Source organism: Homo sapiens, chromosome 2 (genome assembly GCF_000001405.40).
Source record: "Homo sapiens chromosome 2, GRCh38.p14 Primary Assembly".
NCBI lineage: Eukaryota > Metazoa > Chordata > Mammalia > Primates > Hominidae > Homo > Homo sapiens.
The window spans coordinates 165,622,811-165,640,919 of record NC_000002.12 but is presented as its reverse complement, the minus strand read 5'-3'; the positions used below and the strand labels follow the sequence as shown (position 1 = coordinate 165,640,919).

Genomic DNA, 18,109 nt, shown 5'->3' with positions numbered 1-18,109 from the left:
CAGCAGCACGATCATAGTTTAAATAGGTAAAACTATACCAATTTTGTAAATGAAACTGAGGTCCACAGAGGTGAAGTAATTTACCAAAACCTTACAGCTGGTAACACAGAAGCCTGATTTGAATGCAGACAGTGTCAAGCTCAAGCTCAAGCTGTTAATCTTGACACTATATTGCCTTCCTTTATTAGTTCTGGAATGCTCTCATACTCTTTCTTCTTCCTTATTATAGCCTGTGAACAGCTGCTCCCAGGATCCAAACTCTAGAATTAAGCAATAATAATCTAGCTACATTATTCAGAAAATGGGGAGAGGAAGCTACCTGCATGTTAGAAGCAGCTAGAAGCAACGTAAGTAGTAAGCCCCTGTAAGCCTCTGCAGTACCAGACTGCTAGTGGCCTGAAGCTATCAATCCTAATGATGCAGGCTTTGGAGTGAAACATACCAGTAGATTCATTGCCACCTTAGGTCAGCTATGGCACCCATTCCTTATCTGGAATCTCCTAGGGCAGTGGTGAAGTAATGGTATAAACATGAATAGTGGACAAAAAGCACTTAGTTCATATCCTGCTCTGTCATTTACTTGCTGGGTGAGCTAGGACAAATTAATCTTTCTGTCTCGCTCACCTCATGTATAAATAGTTTTAATAATAATACTCATCACATAGTGCTGTTATGAGGATTAAATAAATATTTGTAACACATTAAACAAAGTTTGGCACGTAGTAAGTACTGTATAAGTGTTTGTTAAAAGTAAAGAAATCAAAAATCATTTATATAATTTGAATTCACATAAATCATTTATATGAAGCAGTAGAGTGCCTGACACAGAGAATCAATATGTATGAACTATTCATTGGAGGCAACCAGCCCCACATGATAAGAGTTTTACAATTAAAATGCTCTGTTCTGTACTTTAAATGTATAGCATTCTGGAATTTAAATACTTTTTTGGGGTCTGATATTTGTTTTGGCACATAAAGGTAATGGACACTGAATAACTGATATATTTCTGACAGATAATTGACAAATATATCAGGAATAATGCTAAGTCCTAGGGTCATAATTATGAATGAGAGACAAAAGGTATCTGTAAGAGACAGTCTAAGATGGATATTTTAATCTTGATTTTCTGAAGGAGGAATTAGAGGCTCCAAGTGGCTCTCCTCCAAGGTCATAAGCCTGGAAAATGAGTCTCACATCCAACTCTGCCTGGCTTCACAGCAATGCCCTTTCCATTTCCCTGTCTGCTGTATCTCCTCAGGTGTCAAAACACTGACTTTGTCATTCTCAGATTTGTCCTTTCTTTGCTGTTGGGTATGGCAACTCCTGTGTATATTTCAAAATCACGGGATTTAAAGGACACCTTTTGACTTGTTCCCTTTAAAATGAACAGATTTATATTTATCCATCCACTCATTAACTTCTTTACTCAGCCGTGTATATAACCATGCACTTTGTGGCCAGATCACTAAGATATAAACAGTTGATTCTCATTATTTATAGATTCCGAATTTATTTGTAACTCCAAATCAATACACATTCACAGACCTCGCAGAACAGTGAAAAATTGAGTTGTCCCATGTGTATGTTCCCAGTTGAGGCTGAACAAGGTGACTTTTGCCTTCCTATTTCAGCTCTCCTACTGTAAACAAATGTCCTTCATATGGTGCTTAGTGCCACATTATTTGCACGTTTTGTGCTTTTTGTAGGTAATTTTCCTGTTTGAAAAGGCCCCCAAGTACCAGTGCTGTCTACTATTCCTAAATGCAAGAAAGCAGCGATGTGTCATATAGAGAAAATACGTGACAAGACATGTTTTTTTCAGGCATAAGTTATGGTGTTGTTGGTCATAAGTTTAATGTTAATCAATCAACAACATATATTTAATAAGGTGTCTTTAAACGGAAACAAACAAAACAAGATTATGTATTGATTGGTGGATGAAAATGTTATGACCAGAGGCTCAACAGGTACCTAACCCTGTATTTCCCCCAGGAGCAACGGCTCTGTATTTACTAAGTCAGTCTTCCCTGAAACCTTATAGAACATAACTATCATGAATATTGAGAATCAACTGTACTTTTTCTCTGTCAGAGGACATTTCCCAACAATTGATGAGCAAAATTTAAGAATACAAAGCTGACAAAAAATAACATTCAAATATTAAAAATATATTTAAGAAAGTGTTCAACTTCAGTGGTCACAAAGAAATAAAAATCAAAATAACAAAATATATTTTTGCTGTCTAGCAAATAATGCAAAATTATAAAAATTTTCAGTTGTGGCAAGAGTACAAAGAGATAGGTACTTTTCTATACTACTTGTTGGCATATTAAAGATTTACAACATTTTCAGAAAGCATCTTCATCTTTTAAAAAATATAAAATAAATAGTTCTAAATATAGGAATCAGTAGTAAGGATATAATCAGAAATTTAGAAAATGATTTTTTTTTTTTTGAGATGGAGTTTCACTTTTGTTGCCCAGGCTGGAGTGCAATGGCACGATCTCAGCTCACTGCAATATCCGCCACCTGGGTTCAAGCAATTCTCCTGCCTCAGCCTCCTGAGTAGCTGGGACTACAGGCATGTGCCACCATACCCAGTTTATTTTGTATTTTTAGTAGGGACGGGGTTTCACCATGTTGGTCAGGCTGGTCTTGAAATCCTGATCTCCAGCGATCCACCTGCCTTGGCCTCCCAAAGTGCTGGGATTATAGGCGTGAGCCACCACTCCCAGCCTAGAAAATGATTTATGTCAAAATGTGTTCATCACTAAGTTAAATATAATAATGAAATATTGACAAAACACCTAAATGCCTGACTTCATAGAAATGGTTGAGTAAAATGACTGTCTTTTGTACTATATATATTGGGATATTTTTGTAGCCAATAAAATTAATAAGATTTTATAGATATTTCAATAATATTAGAAAATGTCTGATATAGTATTCAGTGAAAAAGGGGCATTAAAAAAGGTTTAACAATAATTTGTAGCAACTATATAATAGTACATTTTAAAAAATACTGGGTTAATACAATGCGAATACTGGTTGTATTAGGGTAATGAATCTGTATCTGTACACTGTTTTGAACTTTCCAACTTTTACACAATGAACATTCACAAAAAGTAGATTTACAAAGACTGTAAATTCTCCATTTTGTACATTAAGAAACACTTCCACTATAGTTTTCTGAATTGAAGACAATGAAATTGTTTAATGCATTCATGAAATGGCATTGCTATAAATGAGTCATCTTATACTCTGGCACTTATGATCATATGTTTTACATTTTCAAAACTCCATTAAGCATAAGCACTGGTACTTATTCATACTTATTCATAGAGATCCATAAAGTATGTTGCAGAGCAGAAACCACTCAGTAATGGTCATGAATGTGGCGCTCCTTTCCGATCCCAATCATGACCAGCTATGAGTACTAATACCACCTAATTCTGAGCCAATGATAGTGAGCCTGAAAATACACTAATAGCTCCATCTCCATTAGTGATGCCAGGTATACAATTAATCTGTTTCTGCATCACAGGGCATACTCACACCCACTGGGTAGTAGTGTTTCCACCAAATCTCTATATAAAGACCCAGACAAATTAAGTTGTAGCCTCATTCTTGCTTTTGGATTCACGTTCCATTTCCTTGTTAGAACTCAAGCTTTCCTAGTGACAGGCCTAGTCATGTTAAGGTCTTTCCTTCTGTTCAGGACATTGACTTGTTCCTTTAATTTCAAGCTATTTTATGAGTTCTGGCTATAGCCTTGTTGAATCAACCTAGAATCATATTTCTGTGACTCACCTGTTGCCTTGATCTAGCAATACCTTCTGCCATACTTTGTGCTATTCTATCAGAAATTTTAGCTAAAAACAAAAACAAAACAACAAAACAAGCCAACCAAACCTATCTGGATCAGAACTGAGTATGCCATGACACCTGGGACATTGTGAATAGGAATGCTGGTTGTCTTCCATAGAGGTCAACCCTACTGCCTAGTGACTGCCCTCATTGCCTAGCCACCAGTCATGAACCAAATCTATGTGTTTTGCTCTAGCATTATTAAAAAAAATTAGTAAATGAACTAATTAATGCTTAATACTCTAATTATTTAAAAAATAATAAAATTGTAGTAGCATTAGCATGATGAAATTTTAGAATGGATGGAAACAATAACCATATTTTTGTTAGAATTAAGTTTTGCTAGAATTAAAATATGCATATGACTTACATATACAAATATTACATATGTATGTTTTTATAGTTACACACCTACTTATGTTAAGTATATGTGATTAATTTGTTCATTTAGTTCTAGTGAAGCCAAAGTTAGACATGGCAATAATGATTACTTGTTCCATCTTGAATGTTGATGCTATGGGTTATGAGAACTTAATGGGAGGAGATGGATCAGAAAAACACAAATATATCAATATTACTGGGAAAATATCTCAAGACACGTGTCTTATTGATGGAGTTAGTACAGTTATCCTCATATACAGGCCTCTGAAAACATACAGATCATCTTCCTATGTTATTCACTCAAAGAGAATCTTATCTATAAACTCCTAAATTATCCATTCATTCATCCAATTATGCACACATGCATTCATATTTATTTATTCACTGAATAAATATATATTAAGCACCTAGAATCCAGGCAATTTCTAAGTAGCTTCTGTGTAAGTTACCAATCTGCTTACATATGAATGTGTCACTTGCCATAGCTAATAAGAGCAAGAAAGGTCATTTGAGCCAATGGAAGAGATTGTTTCTCTTAACACTAATAGGAATACTATTAAAACAGTAGCATTCATTTACGTAAGTTTAAGAAACTGGGTTATAGCAATAAACAAGTTTCTTTACCCTTGGGTGTATTTCTTACTCCCCATGGTGTGTTTGGATATGTGAGCTTTGAAGCAGAAGCTGGTGGGGAGGTGAAGGGCTCTGCATCATGGTGGGAGTTGACTCTACAATTCTCCAGAGGAACAATTGAGGAGGGAAAGAAAAAATGGGTATGGAGCAAGGAAGGGTAGCACCAAAGAGATGGAGGGAAAGTTGCATGTTTGTCATGCACTGACTACCTGCAACTCTCAAATAGATGTTTAATCCTATAGAATTGTGTAGTTCTGGCCTACAACCCTGGTGAGCTGTACTGGCCTATGACTAAAGCATCTGTAAGCTTACTGTCCCTTTAACACAAAGACTAAACAAGTCTAGACTGGTTTTACCATCAGGTAAGATACTGCCTTTAGACAAGGCAATATTATATCATATGAAAACAATATAATAAATAAAATAGGGTATCGACATTTCTATTTGTCCTGTGTGCATGAACATCCTATGATAACATGTTCTTACCTGAACACAAATAATCCTGTTTCTGTCTCACTTGCCCTCTCCAAACGCTAACCTCTATTAAAGCACCTGATTAGCCCAGAGACTGTAGTCTCAAATGTACCTCTGGGAAGGAGGGTAAGGGTTTCCAATGACTTTGAATTTAAAGTTTTCCTTTAAAGCTCCTTCTTTTCCCAGGAGTAAAATGGAGGCAGGCTCTTGTCATCAAAAGGAATCAGATTGTCCTATGTGGTGTTGAGGTACATTTTTTATAAATATACAGAGAAAAGAATGAGTTTTGTCTAGGTTCTGCCCACTTGTCTCCACTATGATCTCAGTCAGCTTTTCAAACAGAAAATAAGAGGATGCCCTCACGGGCACCCCAGGGGCCCAGCCTGGCTGCGCACTTTGGCAGCTCTCCCACTCATCAGATCTGCTGCTGCAGGGCTTCTCAGTGTGTACAGCAATTCACAGAGGGAGAGCAATCAGCTCCCTCAGCTGAGAACACCAAGCCCGGAGCTCCAGGCTGGCTCCTCCCCAGCTGCAGTGTAAGTCTGGGAACACTCCCCTCAGGACTGCACTGGCTGGATTCAATAGCCTGCTGGGCCTAGAATGCATCAGGGACTGTTAGCACTCTGGGGAAATACCAAAGTGAACAACACAGGCTCCTTCCTGGACGAGATAACAATAAAGTAAGGCACACAGATGCACATCAAATAGCAAGGCAACCATACCAGTGTGAGAATGACTTTCCTCTGCAGGATGTACTGGAGTACTTTCTAGACACTAGAGTGTAATTGTTGTCACCTCCAGGTAGGTTTCTTCACCAGGTTGTAAGCAAAGAACATGCTTCACTGATCTTTAAATTATTAGCACCTAGCACAGGGCCTGGGTACTTCCTAATGTAATCTAGGTTGCTATTCATATCCCTTTCTCTGAGATCCTTTCCTTAACTTCCGTAAGCTATTTACTCATCCATCTTCTTTATTTCCTTTCTCTGTTTTATTTTTTCTGGAGTCTGTATCACTACTTGATGTTATGCATATGTCTGTTTCTTATCCATCTTGACCACCAGAATGTAACCTTTGTAAGAACAGGGCCCTTCGCCGGTCTTATTTACAACTGTATGCTGCATTCCTAGAATATTTCCTGGCAGACAGAACAGGTGCTCAATATGTGTTTTTTGTATGTTTTTCAAATAATGTTTTTCTGTGTGTGTTTTTTTTCTTTTTTTGGACAGGATCTCATTCCCATTGCCCAGGGTGGAGTGCAGTGGTGCGATCTCAGCTCACTGCAGCCTTGACTTCCCAGGTTCAGATGATTCTTCCATCTCAGCCTCCTGAGTACCTGGGATTACAGGCACACACCATCATGCCTGGCTAATTTTTTGTATTTTTAGTAGAGACGGGGTTTTGCCATGTGACTCAGGCTGGTCTCGAACTCCTGGGCTCAAGAGATCCGCCTGCCTTGGCCTCCCAAAGTGTTGGGATTACAGGTGTGAGCCACGGGGCTGGACCTCAAATAATGTTTTACAAAGATAGTCTATGAATAAATATTTGTAGAATAAATGAATTGGTTTAATAGCGTAACAGACATAAGGAGTGTTATGAAAACCCAATGAAGAAATTAATTTTGACTACTGAAAGATCATGAGAGGCTTTGTGCAGCAGGGTCTTGGAAGTGTGGGCAGGATTTCAACAGTTCAGGAAAGTACCCAGAGGTTGTAAGGGGAAGAACACATTCAGGGAGCCACAAATAGTGAATGATTGCAGAGGAGCTTCTGTCTATATTTTAGTAACTAGTTATATTTAACAGAAATTTATGGAGCAACTACTATGTGCCAGGCATTGTCCTCAGCAAGGAGGAAATGAGCAAAGCAGTAAGATGCAGCCCTAGTATTCAACATGTAATAGCTGAATAGGCTAGCATGGTTTCAAGCTTAAATCTTAGGATCAGGGGACTGGATTTTGTTCTGTGCTCAGTGGGGAGTCTTGGAAAGCTTGTGAGCTGGGAGATTGAAGTTCTTATGTGGAAAACAAAGAAAGGCATTAGAATGCTGAACAAAGCAAGACGAAAGAAGCTGCGATTTTCAGAAGAAATTGCTTTCGTTTTGTAATGAAAACATACCTAAATATTTTCCACACAGGTTCATAAGAAATCCTAGAAAAATAACAAAATCAAAATATTATCGATGCCAGAATTCGAGGCTTCACAATAGGCCATTACTTTCTTTCTTAAAGACAGAGACTATAAATCCGCTTACTCTAGGACTTTAGTGATCCTTATGCCAACATAGTTGTAGGTGATTTAAGTGATAGAAATAAACAATAAAAGACAATCTTGGCTGCCTTCCTTTTAGCAATAACATTACATTATTAAGTCCTTTGGAATAGGGCATCACTAGACTTAAGTCTCTTAAATCGGTATTTTCAGGTAACAACTGAGATGAATGTTTTAAGAGATATTAAACAAGCTTAACTACACAATCAGTGTATAGTTCACTTAGGTGGTTTTTTGCTAAGTTTAACGTGACAGAAATACTGTATTTGCATAAAGTATGACATAAGAAAATGTTCAAATATTACAGATTATATCAAAAAGAAGGTAAGGAAGATAATATTTTTCACATGTCTACCACAGTGCTAAGTGTTTTTCAGGCTTTATTCCCTTCTGGAATAGCCTTAGAAATGATATAACGGATTTCTACTTTGCAGATAGGAAACGAAAATTGATAGCTGGTAAGTCATGTAGCCCATGTTGTTTCAACTCAACTTGATAATGCAAAGCTCTGATAAAACAGTAATGAAATAAAGATGGGGTGAATCATGGGGCATGCCATAATTATTTAAATGTCTCATAAAGAAATACTCATTTAAGTTCCTTTTTATGAATCAAAATATTCTCATGGAGACTCTATTTAAACATAAAATGGTTAGATTTGTTGATTTCTAGGTTTAGCTTTTAAAAATGTAACTGTAAAGCTGTAAAGTCCCATTGCAGGGATAGAACATTCATGGGGAGAGAGAATAACATTTGGTTTCCTTATTTTTGTTATTTTTTTTAAAGAGACAGGGTCTTGCTCTGTCACTCTGACTGGAGTGCAATGCTGTGATTATAGCTCACTACAACTTCAAACTCCTGGGCTCAAGCAATTCTCCCATCTCAGCCTCTCAAGTAGATGGGACCACAGACACATGCTAATTTTTAAATTTTCTGTAAAGACAGTGTCTTGCTCTGTTGCCCAGGCTGGTCTTGAACTCCTGGCCTCAAGCAATCCTCCTGCCTCAGCCTCCCAAAGTAGTAGGATTACAGGTGTGAACTACCATGCCTGGCACTTCACTTTATTTTCCTAATACAATGACAGCCCTGTGACATTGATAAAAGAATAAAAAGAACATGTTCACACTAAATTCAGAATTAATACCTATGCTATATTCTAAGCACTCATAAAATGTTTAATAATTTTCTATTAACTTTAGTGTGATGATAGTCATATTTTGTTATCATTTCTAGGCCTGGCCATGCAGCACAGAAACTGTAAAAATTCTGCAAACAAGTCTTGAGTTAGGTTGATGCTCTAAATATTAATAGTATTTAAACCCATCCCTTTGAAACACGTTCACACATATTTGATTGCCAGATATTAATCTTTTCTTTAAAGGGCCAGATATTAACCATTTGGCTTTGTGAGCCATTCAGTCTCTTGAAACTAGTTGACTCTGCCATTATAGTGCAAAAGCAGCCACAGACAATAGGTAGATGAGTGAGAGTAGTTGTTTTCCAATAAAACTTTATTTATAACAACTGGTGAAAGAGTGGGTTTGGCCTGCAAGGCTGTAGTTTGCTAACTTCTGATTTATAGAACAGGTATGGCTATAAAAATATAATTTAAGCATAGTGACATGTTCTGATTGTTTACTTACTGATCTGTGTAACTTATCTGTTTCCACTTCTGCCTCTTCTAATAGACTGAGGTCTTTTAAGGCATGGAGAAAATCATGCTTTTTCTTAATATCCACAGTACATTAAAGGCAGGAGAGCTGGCCATTGGCTGCTATAAAGGCATCCATAAGAGCTTACAGAATATCAATGGAATAAATAAAATATATGTGTCAGTAAAATTAGATTTCCACAGAAGACAGGCAACTTGTATATCGGTCTTGTTCCCACCAAAGTAAACAGCTCCCTAGAGTGAGAATATAAAAACGCCTTCATTGGCACCACTCATCTCTGTTGAGGACACTCATGGCCTGCACATCAAGCTGCCCCTTGTAATTTACAGGCAGAGCCAATTCCTGCACCCACACATACACACACACATTGTCTCTAGCCCCTAGTCAATTGCCTGAAGTCATAAGTCACAGGGAGCCGAAATTCTGAATGTGTATAATGCATGGCATAACTGCTGTTTACCAAGAACCAGTGATTTATGTTAACATTGAAATTTAAAACCCTCTAATATACCTCCTCGGAAGTTATCTGGCTCAGAATATTGCAATAATAAGGCAATTATGATTAAGTTATAATGTTATATAATGTTTAGTGTGGGTAATAAATCTCTTATTTTTGAACATAATGAAAAAGCTATACAAATAATTAGAAACCTTGGCCCTAATAAGAAACGTTAACAAATAATTAGCCTCCCTGGGGTATTCATTCACAAATCTCTGTATGTCTCTTAGTAGGCTTTTGATAAATGTTTGTTAAATAAATGAAGGCAATAGACTTTTGCTCCACTAACTCTGAATAATCAAAGAACTAACTTTGAACACGTCAAATATCATCAATTTTATTACATGAGAAATACAATAATTTCTGATAAAATTCCCACTACAGGGTGGCTGTACAAGGACAGTGTTTCCTAAAATGGTGCTGAAATTCACTGTAAGAGATATATCCATGTATGGAGTAAATGTAAAATGATTACTTTGTCTGTCATTTGATAACTGGGAGAGAAAGAGATACTGAAAGCAGTTCTGGAGAGGATCCTGGAGACCCAGGCTGGAGGAGTTGTTGCTGTCCAGCTGAAGAAACAAAGATCCTTCATGGGTCCCGACAAGGAGTCCACCACTCACTGCAGTTAATGCCATGGGGAAGTCGGGAGATGGCAAACAGGAAAACATATGGTGGATTTCAAAGTGATCAAAGAGAAGGCATTATAAATGGGTAACACCACAGGAAAAGAGGGAAAGGCAATAAATCAGAGGGACTAAATAAAATCTTGAAGGAAAAGGAGGAGTCAGTCTTAGGTATACAAGAAATAAAAATGGCTATTCTAAATGCTGTCTTAGTAGAAAACGAAAAGACTAATTCAAAATACACATACACACTTTTAGGATTAATGCATTGTTTCCTAAGAACGCCAGAATTTATTTTTTCAGGCAGAAAAGGAGACAAAAAAGGAGCTTTTTTACGTCTTCAAAAATCAAAGAATAGACAGCCTTGGATGATGCACCCTAGGTTTTATTTTAGTCTACGTACAGATAGGATGATTAAGCTTTTGTACAGTCTGTTGAGAGTCTTTGAAAGAAAGCTTGTTTTAAACAATCAAATTCACCTGAGTACAAAAGAAAATGCTGCAACCTTTCTTTTAAGTGGTTAGAAGTGAACCACAGGAAATCAGCTTGGGGTCCTCTAGACCTGAGAGAAGGAATGGCTTGCTGAATGCAGCAGGCAGGGCAGCCAGAAATAAAAGGGGAATCAATGAAAGGTAGAGTGCAAAATGAAGACAAATAAAGATGAAAACTTTTAAAGGGGAAAAAAAGCAGGGAGATCAAATAGGATTAATGCTAGGCCACCATTTCAGATTTTCACAGTTTACTGATGGTTCTGGGGTTTAACATTTACTAATTTGATTTCTGAATCAAACATATCGAGATATCTTCATTTCTCACTTGGTAGAATATTTCATGAATGACCCTAGAGGGAAAACATTTCACTCTGCCTCTGATTTAGGTCTCTCTTCTGGTCCAACAAGTAACCAAATGACCTGGGACAAGTCGCATACCTGTGATGCCTCAGCTGCCTCACAGAAAACAAAACAAAACAACAAAAGGCATCATAACTGTACCCCTGGATTCATAGCGTTTTGAAGAAAAACCATGGGAGCTTTACCTCCGTGAATGAGATGCACAAACTGGAGCATAAGAAAGCAAAGCTACTGCGAGTGACATGGTTATAGGAGAGTTCCAGGGCTGCAGAATCTGCTGTTGTTGAATACTATATAATGAGGCAGAAAGAGGCAAACAGTGAGGGTGTACTCTTGTCCTCTATCTGTACGCAGAACCTGAAGCAGGAAAGAGGGAGTGATGTCAGGAGAACAACTTGGTGGGAGCCTGTGGAAGTGGAGCACAGACTATTTCCCTTGAGCAGGGTGAGTTTCAGAGATTATCTGTGAAAATGTTCTCAAACTTTGTATCAGAATTGCCGGCAGCAGTCATATGCTGGAAAATGTTTAACACATGGCTCTTACCCTGATTTGTAGTGTTTATCAATTTCCATAGTGTAAATATTCCCACTGTAACCAATTTTTCTTCCACAGATTTAGGGAGGAGATAAAGAGCCTGTACTACCTGGTTCCAAAATTCTACCACCTGAAAGACTTGTTTAAAAGCACAGACTTTTAGGCCCCATCCTTAGTGTTTCTTTTTCTTTCTTTGAATTTTTATTTAATAGAGATGGGATCTCACTATGTTGCCCAGGCTGGTCTGAAACTCCTGGGCTCAAGTAATCCTCCCGCCTTGGCCTCCCAAAAGCTGGGATTACAGGCACGAGCCACTGTGCCCGGCCCCCTCATCCCTAGTGTTTCTGATTTGGTGGTTCCCACAGGATACTGATTTATTTTTTTTGGAGACAGAGTTTTGCTCTCATTGTCCAGGCTGGAGTGTGATGGCGCCATCTCGCCTCACTGCAACCTCCGCCTCCCAGGTTCAAGCGATTCTCCTGCCTCAGCCTCCGGAGTAGCTGGGATTATAGGCGCCCACCACCACGCCCAGCTAATTTTTGTATTTTTAGTAGAGACGGGGTTTCACCACGTTGGCCAGGCTGGTCTTGAACTCCTGACCTCAGGTAATCTGCCCCCCTCGGCCTCCCAAAGTGCTGGGATTACAGGTGTGAACCACTGTGCCCAGCCAATACTGATGTTTTTATTTCAGGTCTATACTTTGAGAACCACTAGTCTATGAGGAGAAATGTTGCAGATAATAAGTACAGAAAGCAATTGAAAACCTGTGATACATTGGTCTGCAAAAGAAGACACAAGAAGTAGAAAAGGGGGAAAAAGGCACAAAATGGTGTATCAAGAAAGAGTAGATCTAAAAGAAGAGTATGTTTGTAGTAGGGGTTGGGGAATCTCTGGAGCCTATCCCTCAGGGCTCATTTGTAATAAGAACATACTAAACAAGAGTAAGCAATGAAATATAAGGTTTGGATATGATTTGGTATAAAATCATGCCAGAGTAGGGCTGGTAGGATAATTCTGTGGCAATTCCGCTGGACAGGCTGGGGCTAAAAACTAACCATTCTCTTCAGGAATTCAACTATGGCTTCATGGGAATTTTTTGCTTGTTTTAGCAAACATTTCGAAGCATTAACAGCTCCAGTACAATTTGCTGGGATATATATAGCAGGGCACTGGAGAGAAAACGAGTCTACTGAAGAATGGGTTCAAGAGGCAGCTCTCCATTTATTGACTGTGTACTGTGGGAGGAACATGTGTAACATCTCTGAGCATAGTTCCTCATTCATGAATGAGAAAAATGCATGCTCTGACCATGTCTCTGGGTGGTGAAGAACAAATAAGGACATCTTTTCAACCATAGTTACTAATGGTGGGAGGAGTCGATTGTGAGAGTAAGGTCATGTGACAAGAGGAAGAAGTGTGATTCAGTGGACAGAGAGTTTTGTTTAGGTAGAAGTGAGTTATATCTAGTAGTGGAGGGCACCAGAAACATGGTTTGCATATGACTCATGCAATCAGTGCAATGTGAGGGGAGAAGAATGGATGCAATGACGAGAGAGTATCAGTGCGTTCTTTTAAAGAGGCAGAAAAGGCTATCTCTAGCAGACTGACATGAATTATTTCCCAGTAAAAGTAAGCTATGCCTACTTCAAGGGCCCAGAACGAAAGAGAAAAGAACTCAGAAAAGCTGCCTGTGGCTATAATAGAAAGAGCAGTCAGTGCAAAAGAGCTTCCAGGGGAGATAGCAAAGGATTTCAGGTAATGGAAAGAAGAACAAGGCAAAGAAAAACAAGCTACCCAGCAGAGACAATAGAGAAATCAAGAAAATGGCAGGAAAATTACTGTACCTGCTATAAAGAGGAAATGAGTAGGCATGCTTCAGAGGTAAAGGTATTCTCAGGCCAGAGGGAGAAGAATATTGAGCGGAGACAACAAGCTTAGTTGTGCAGCTCCCCACAAGGTTTCCATAGTAGTCAAATATTGAGTGGGAAAAGGGGATGCATTAATAGAAAATCTAAGATAACCAGCAGGGACCAAAGAGAACAATCAAATGGAGAGTGAAGGAGTTCAAAGGCAGCCATCAAGAACTAACCTTCTCTAAAGTAAATAAAAGCACAAAGCTGGAATAAGCAATGTGTATCCCATGAGAAACGAGGCCAGCAACAAGGCTACAGGATGGTGAAGGAGGTTCAACTACAGAAAGGAAAAAGGATCTGTTCATTGTGTTCTTGAGAAAATGAGAAGTAATTGAGGGTACGGAAAACCATAGGTAGGCATGTGGATATTTCTTGGTTTGCGAAGAATATAAGTAATTTTATCCTTACATTTAAAAGTATGGAAGAGTCAAGAGCTTTCACCTATGAGAAAGGGTGGTCCACACTGGGGTGAAGTCATTTGGCCACTGGGTACCAAGAGGAGAGGGCAGCAGCCATGAAAGGTGGCAGAACACGAGGTAGCAGCAACAGGCAGTCTGTACTGACCTGCTTGGAGAGTGGCAAAAGAAACTGCATGTTATAGCAATGAAGCAAAACAGTAAGCTTTTAGAAATGCTCTGCTCTCAAATATTTATCTCATGCTTTGGACAAGGAAATACGGAATGTTAGCAGTACTTTGAAGGGGGAAATAAGGTGTTTATGTACCTGCAGTACACCAATCCATATACACGGTAAGGATTAACTTATTACAAGCTTTTGAGCTAGTTATTAAATCCAGCCTTTGGACCTTTGTATTTGTATTTGCCCTTTTGCCTGGAATATTCTTACCTTAGATGTCCATCTCACTCCTTCCCTTACTTCATTTGAGTCTCTGCTTAAGTTTCACCTTACTGGCAAAGCCTTTTCTTACCCTCATTTCTTTCACTATCTCTTCTCTCTTCTCTTTTTTTTTTTTCTGAGAAGGAGTTTCACTCTTTTGCCCAGGTTGGAGTGAAGTGGCATGATCTCGGCTCACTGCAACCTCCGCCCCCTGAGTTCAAGCGATTCTCCTGCCTCAGCCTCCCAAGTAGCTGGGATTATAGGCACCCACCACCATGCTGGGCTAATTTTTGTATTTTTAGGAGAGACAGGGTTTCACCAGGTTGGCCAGGCTGGTCTCAAACTCCTGACCTCAGGCAATCCACCCACCTCAGCCTCCCAAAGTGCTAGGATTACAGGTGTGAGCCACTGTGCCCAGTCATTTTTTTCTTTTCTTTTTTTTTTTTTGAGATGGAGTTTTGGAGTGCAGTGGTGTGATCTCGGCTCACTGCAACCTCTGCCCCGAGTTCACGCGATTCTCCTGCCTCAGCCTGCCGAGTAGCTGGGATTATAGGTGCCCGCCTCTGCACCAGGCTAATTTTTGTACTTTTAGTAGAGACAGGGTTTTACCATGTTGGCCAGGATGGTCTCGAACTCCTGACCTCAGCCTCCCAAAGTGCTAGGATTGCAGGTGTGAGTCACCATGCCTGGCCTCATATTTTTCGTTTCTTTTTTCTTTTCTTTTTTTTTGACAGAATCTCACTCTGTTGCTGAGGTGGGAGTGCAGTGGCATGATCTCAGCTCACTGCAACCTCTGCCTCCCAGGTTCAAGCAATTCTCCTGTCTCAGCTTCCCAAGTAGCTGGGATTACAAGCACCTGCCGCCACGCTCAGCTAACTTTTCCTTTTTTTTTTTTTTATTAGAGACAGGGTTTTGCCATGTTGCCAGGCTGGTCTCGAACTCCTGACCTCAGATGATCCACCCACCTTGGCCTCCCAAAGTGCTGGGATTACAGGCATGAGCCACCGTGCCTGGCACTTTTTTTTTTAAAGAGCACTTACAACTACATGTTATGTATATTTGTTACCTGTCTCCTTACCCAAATGTTGGTTCTTTGAGAACCGGGTAGTGCCTGTCTCACTCCCTGCCATATCCAATACCTAGAAGTATGCCAGGCACATAGGAAGTGCTCAGTAAATACTTACTGAATGAAAGAAAGGCTCACTGGTCCCATTTTGCAGATGAGGAAATGAGCTCATTTAGTAACCTGCCTAGGACACAACCAAAATGATGGGAGTCACGATTTGAAATGAGATCTCTTGGACTGTCACATTATTTCAGTTGTTCTGCATGACTTCTCTAAAAACACAATGTGGCACATATATCTGAGGGGCAGTGTGATGCAGTTGCCGGCTTCACAGTCAGACTGGGACTCCAATCCTGGCTAGGCCATTATTTAGTTTCCCACTTTCCGCGGGCTTCTTACCCTCTCTCTGCCTGTTTCCTCTTTGTAAAATGAGAAAACCCATCTCACCGGTTGTAGAGATGAACAATACAATGTGTGGCACCTAACAGACTCCTCATGCATGCCAGCTGAGACTGCTGAAGTGAAAGAATAAATAAAGGAAAGAGGTGATGGGAAGGAGGAGGAAATAGGGAGAGGCAGGGGAAGTAAGGGTGAGAACCTCAGTGTGCTTTGCTTTCTTCGTGGGCTGTAGGATGAAAAGAAGGCTTCTTAGTTAAGAGAAGAAAACCCAGGCAGCTTTTGTGTAGAAGAGGGACCTCTCAGGGGAAATTTATGAGGCACCAGTATAACAATGGATGAGAGCAGCTGGCCAGCAAGGGACTGTGTAGGTACCAGGGTACCTCAAAATGGATAAACCCACAGGATATTTGTAGTAATTTAAATCCCCGAAAGTGAGGAAATTGTGAGCTTAAATCAAAGAAAAATAAAAAGAGTGACTTAAGAGAATGTTTCAGGAAGAAAAAAGGACTGGCCTGACGGAAGCCCTCTTTGGCGATTCTATAGAGCAGGCATGAAGCCTTTATCCATTCCCTTCAGGAGGCCACATGTAACCAGTGTGGGGTGCATATATTCAGAATCTAAAGTCTGAGTCTATTTTACCTTCAGCTTCAGAATGCACATAAGAAAGCTTAAAATAAATAAAAATATTAAATACATTATTTTATTAAAAAGTCCAAATTATATAAAATAAAAACTGTTTTTCCTTCCTTCCTTTCAAAATTCTAGAATGCTCTCCCTGAACCTGCTTTACAGACGAGGATGAAAGAAGAAACAAGGTAATTAAGCAAGAGACAGTTCAAGGTGGCTAGGACTCTTTTGTTGTTGGTTGTAGGAGTGGGAGCGATAAGAGAAAACTTCAAAGACGAATGGAAAAATGAGGCTAATAGACTCCATGTGCTGCTATGACAAGAAAAGCCAGACAAGGAGATACTCCCTTTTGTGGAGAGAAGGTAGGCAACAGTTGCCTCCCTTGCAGCTGCTCTAAAAGGGAAAGGAAGAGAGTTAGAAAAAGTAACAGTAGGAGACAAAAAGCCTAGACAACAGCTACCTATAAGTAGAATCCAAGTTTCAGAAGTAGGAATTCAGGAAGGAGGGAGAGTCCTCAGTGACTGTACACTGTTAAAATATCTTATGGTTGTAGATGTTGCTGCCTAGGGGTATTAAAAAGTCAGTATGTAAATATAGCACAAAAGCATGATTACAGTGTTCCCTTAGTATCCATGGGGGATTCGTTCTAGGATCCCCACTGTTACCAAAATCCATGAATGCTCAAGTTCCTGATATAAAATGGTGTAGTATTTGCATTGAACCTATGCACATCCTTCCATATATTTTATATCAGTGGTCCCCAACCTTTTTGGCACCAGGGACTGGTTTTGTGCAAGACAATTTTTCCACGGACTGGGGAGGGATGGTTTCGGGATAATTCAAGTGCATTACGTTTATCATTAGATTCTCATAAGGAGCACGCAACCTAGATCCCATGCATGAGCGGTTCACAATAGGATCTGTGCTCCCACGAGAATCTAATGCCCCCACTGATCTGACAAGAGGCGTAGCTCAGGCGGTTATGCTTGCTCGCCTGCCTCTCATTCCTTGCTGTGCGGCCCACTTCTTAACAGGCCATAGACAGGTACCAGTCCATGGCCCAGGGGTTGGGCACCCCTGCTTTAAATCATCTGTGGATTACTTATAATACCTAATACAATATAAATACCATGTAAATAGTTGTTATACTGTATCCTTTCAAAAATTGTCATTTTTTTATTTTATTTATTTATGTTTTAAATATTTTCAACCCAAGGCTGGTCGAATCTGTGGCTGCAGAACCTGCAGATACAGGGAGCCTACTGCATACCAAAAAGCCTAGGTATGGAGACGCCTCATACAGGTACAGTGCAAATTCCTAAAAACATAATGTCTGGGTTGGAGGAGAAGAAAGTGTTACGAGTGAGTATAGACTGTAATGGAGACTAGTAGCTCTTTCTCCAATATCTTTATTTCTTCTCTAGTAATATAATTTTAAGCTAGTGAATTTTAAGCTAG

The 18,109-nt window shown here is 39.4% G+C and overlaps 1 protein-coding gene and 1 long non-coding RNA gene across 7 annotated transcripts in view, besides 2 other annotated features; one reads left to right on the top strand and one right to left on the bottom strand.

Annotated features, from left to right (window-relative positions):
• The window catches only part of CSRNP3 (cysteine and serine rich nuclear protein 3), a 219,710-nt gene that overhangs the window by 48,488 nt on the left and 153,113 nt on the right, over window positions 1–18,109 (bottom strand). The window lies entirely within an intron of this gene.
• LOC124906085 (uncharacterized) lies at window positions 230–16,840 on the top strand. The gene is made up of 3 exons (XR_007087279.1): window positions 230–347; window positions 11,630–11,719; window positions 16,790–16,840. It is a non-coding gene; the product is annotated as an uncharacterized LOC124906085 (long non-coding RNA).
• Window positions 5,286–5,864: an enhancer, noted in NCBI's record as "NANOG-H3K27ac-H3K4me1 hESC enhancer chr2:166491566-166492144 (GRCh37/hg19 assembly coordinates)". NCBI's record gives its function as "activates a minimal SCP1, AML or CMV promoter by ChIP-STARR-seq in primed H9 embryonic stem cells {active_cell/tissue: H9 hESC(primed)}" and the evidence as "EXISTENCE:reporter gene assay evidence [ECO:0000049][PMID:30033119]".
• Window positions 5,865–6,444: an enhancer, noted in NCBI's record as "NANOG-H3K27ac-H3K4me1 hESC enhancer chr2:166490986-166491565 (GRCh37/hg19 assembly coordinates)". NCBI's record gives its function as "activates a minimal SCP1, AML or CMV promoter by ChIP-STARR-seq in primed H9 embryonic stem cells {active_cell/tissue: H9 hESC(primed)}" and the evidence as "EXISTENCE:reporter gene assay evidence [ECO:0000049][PMID:30033119]".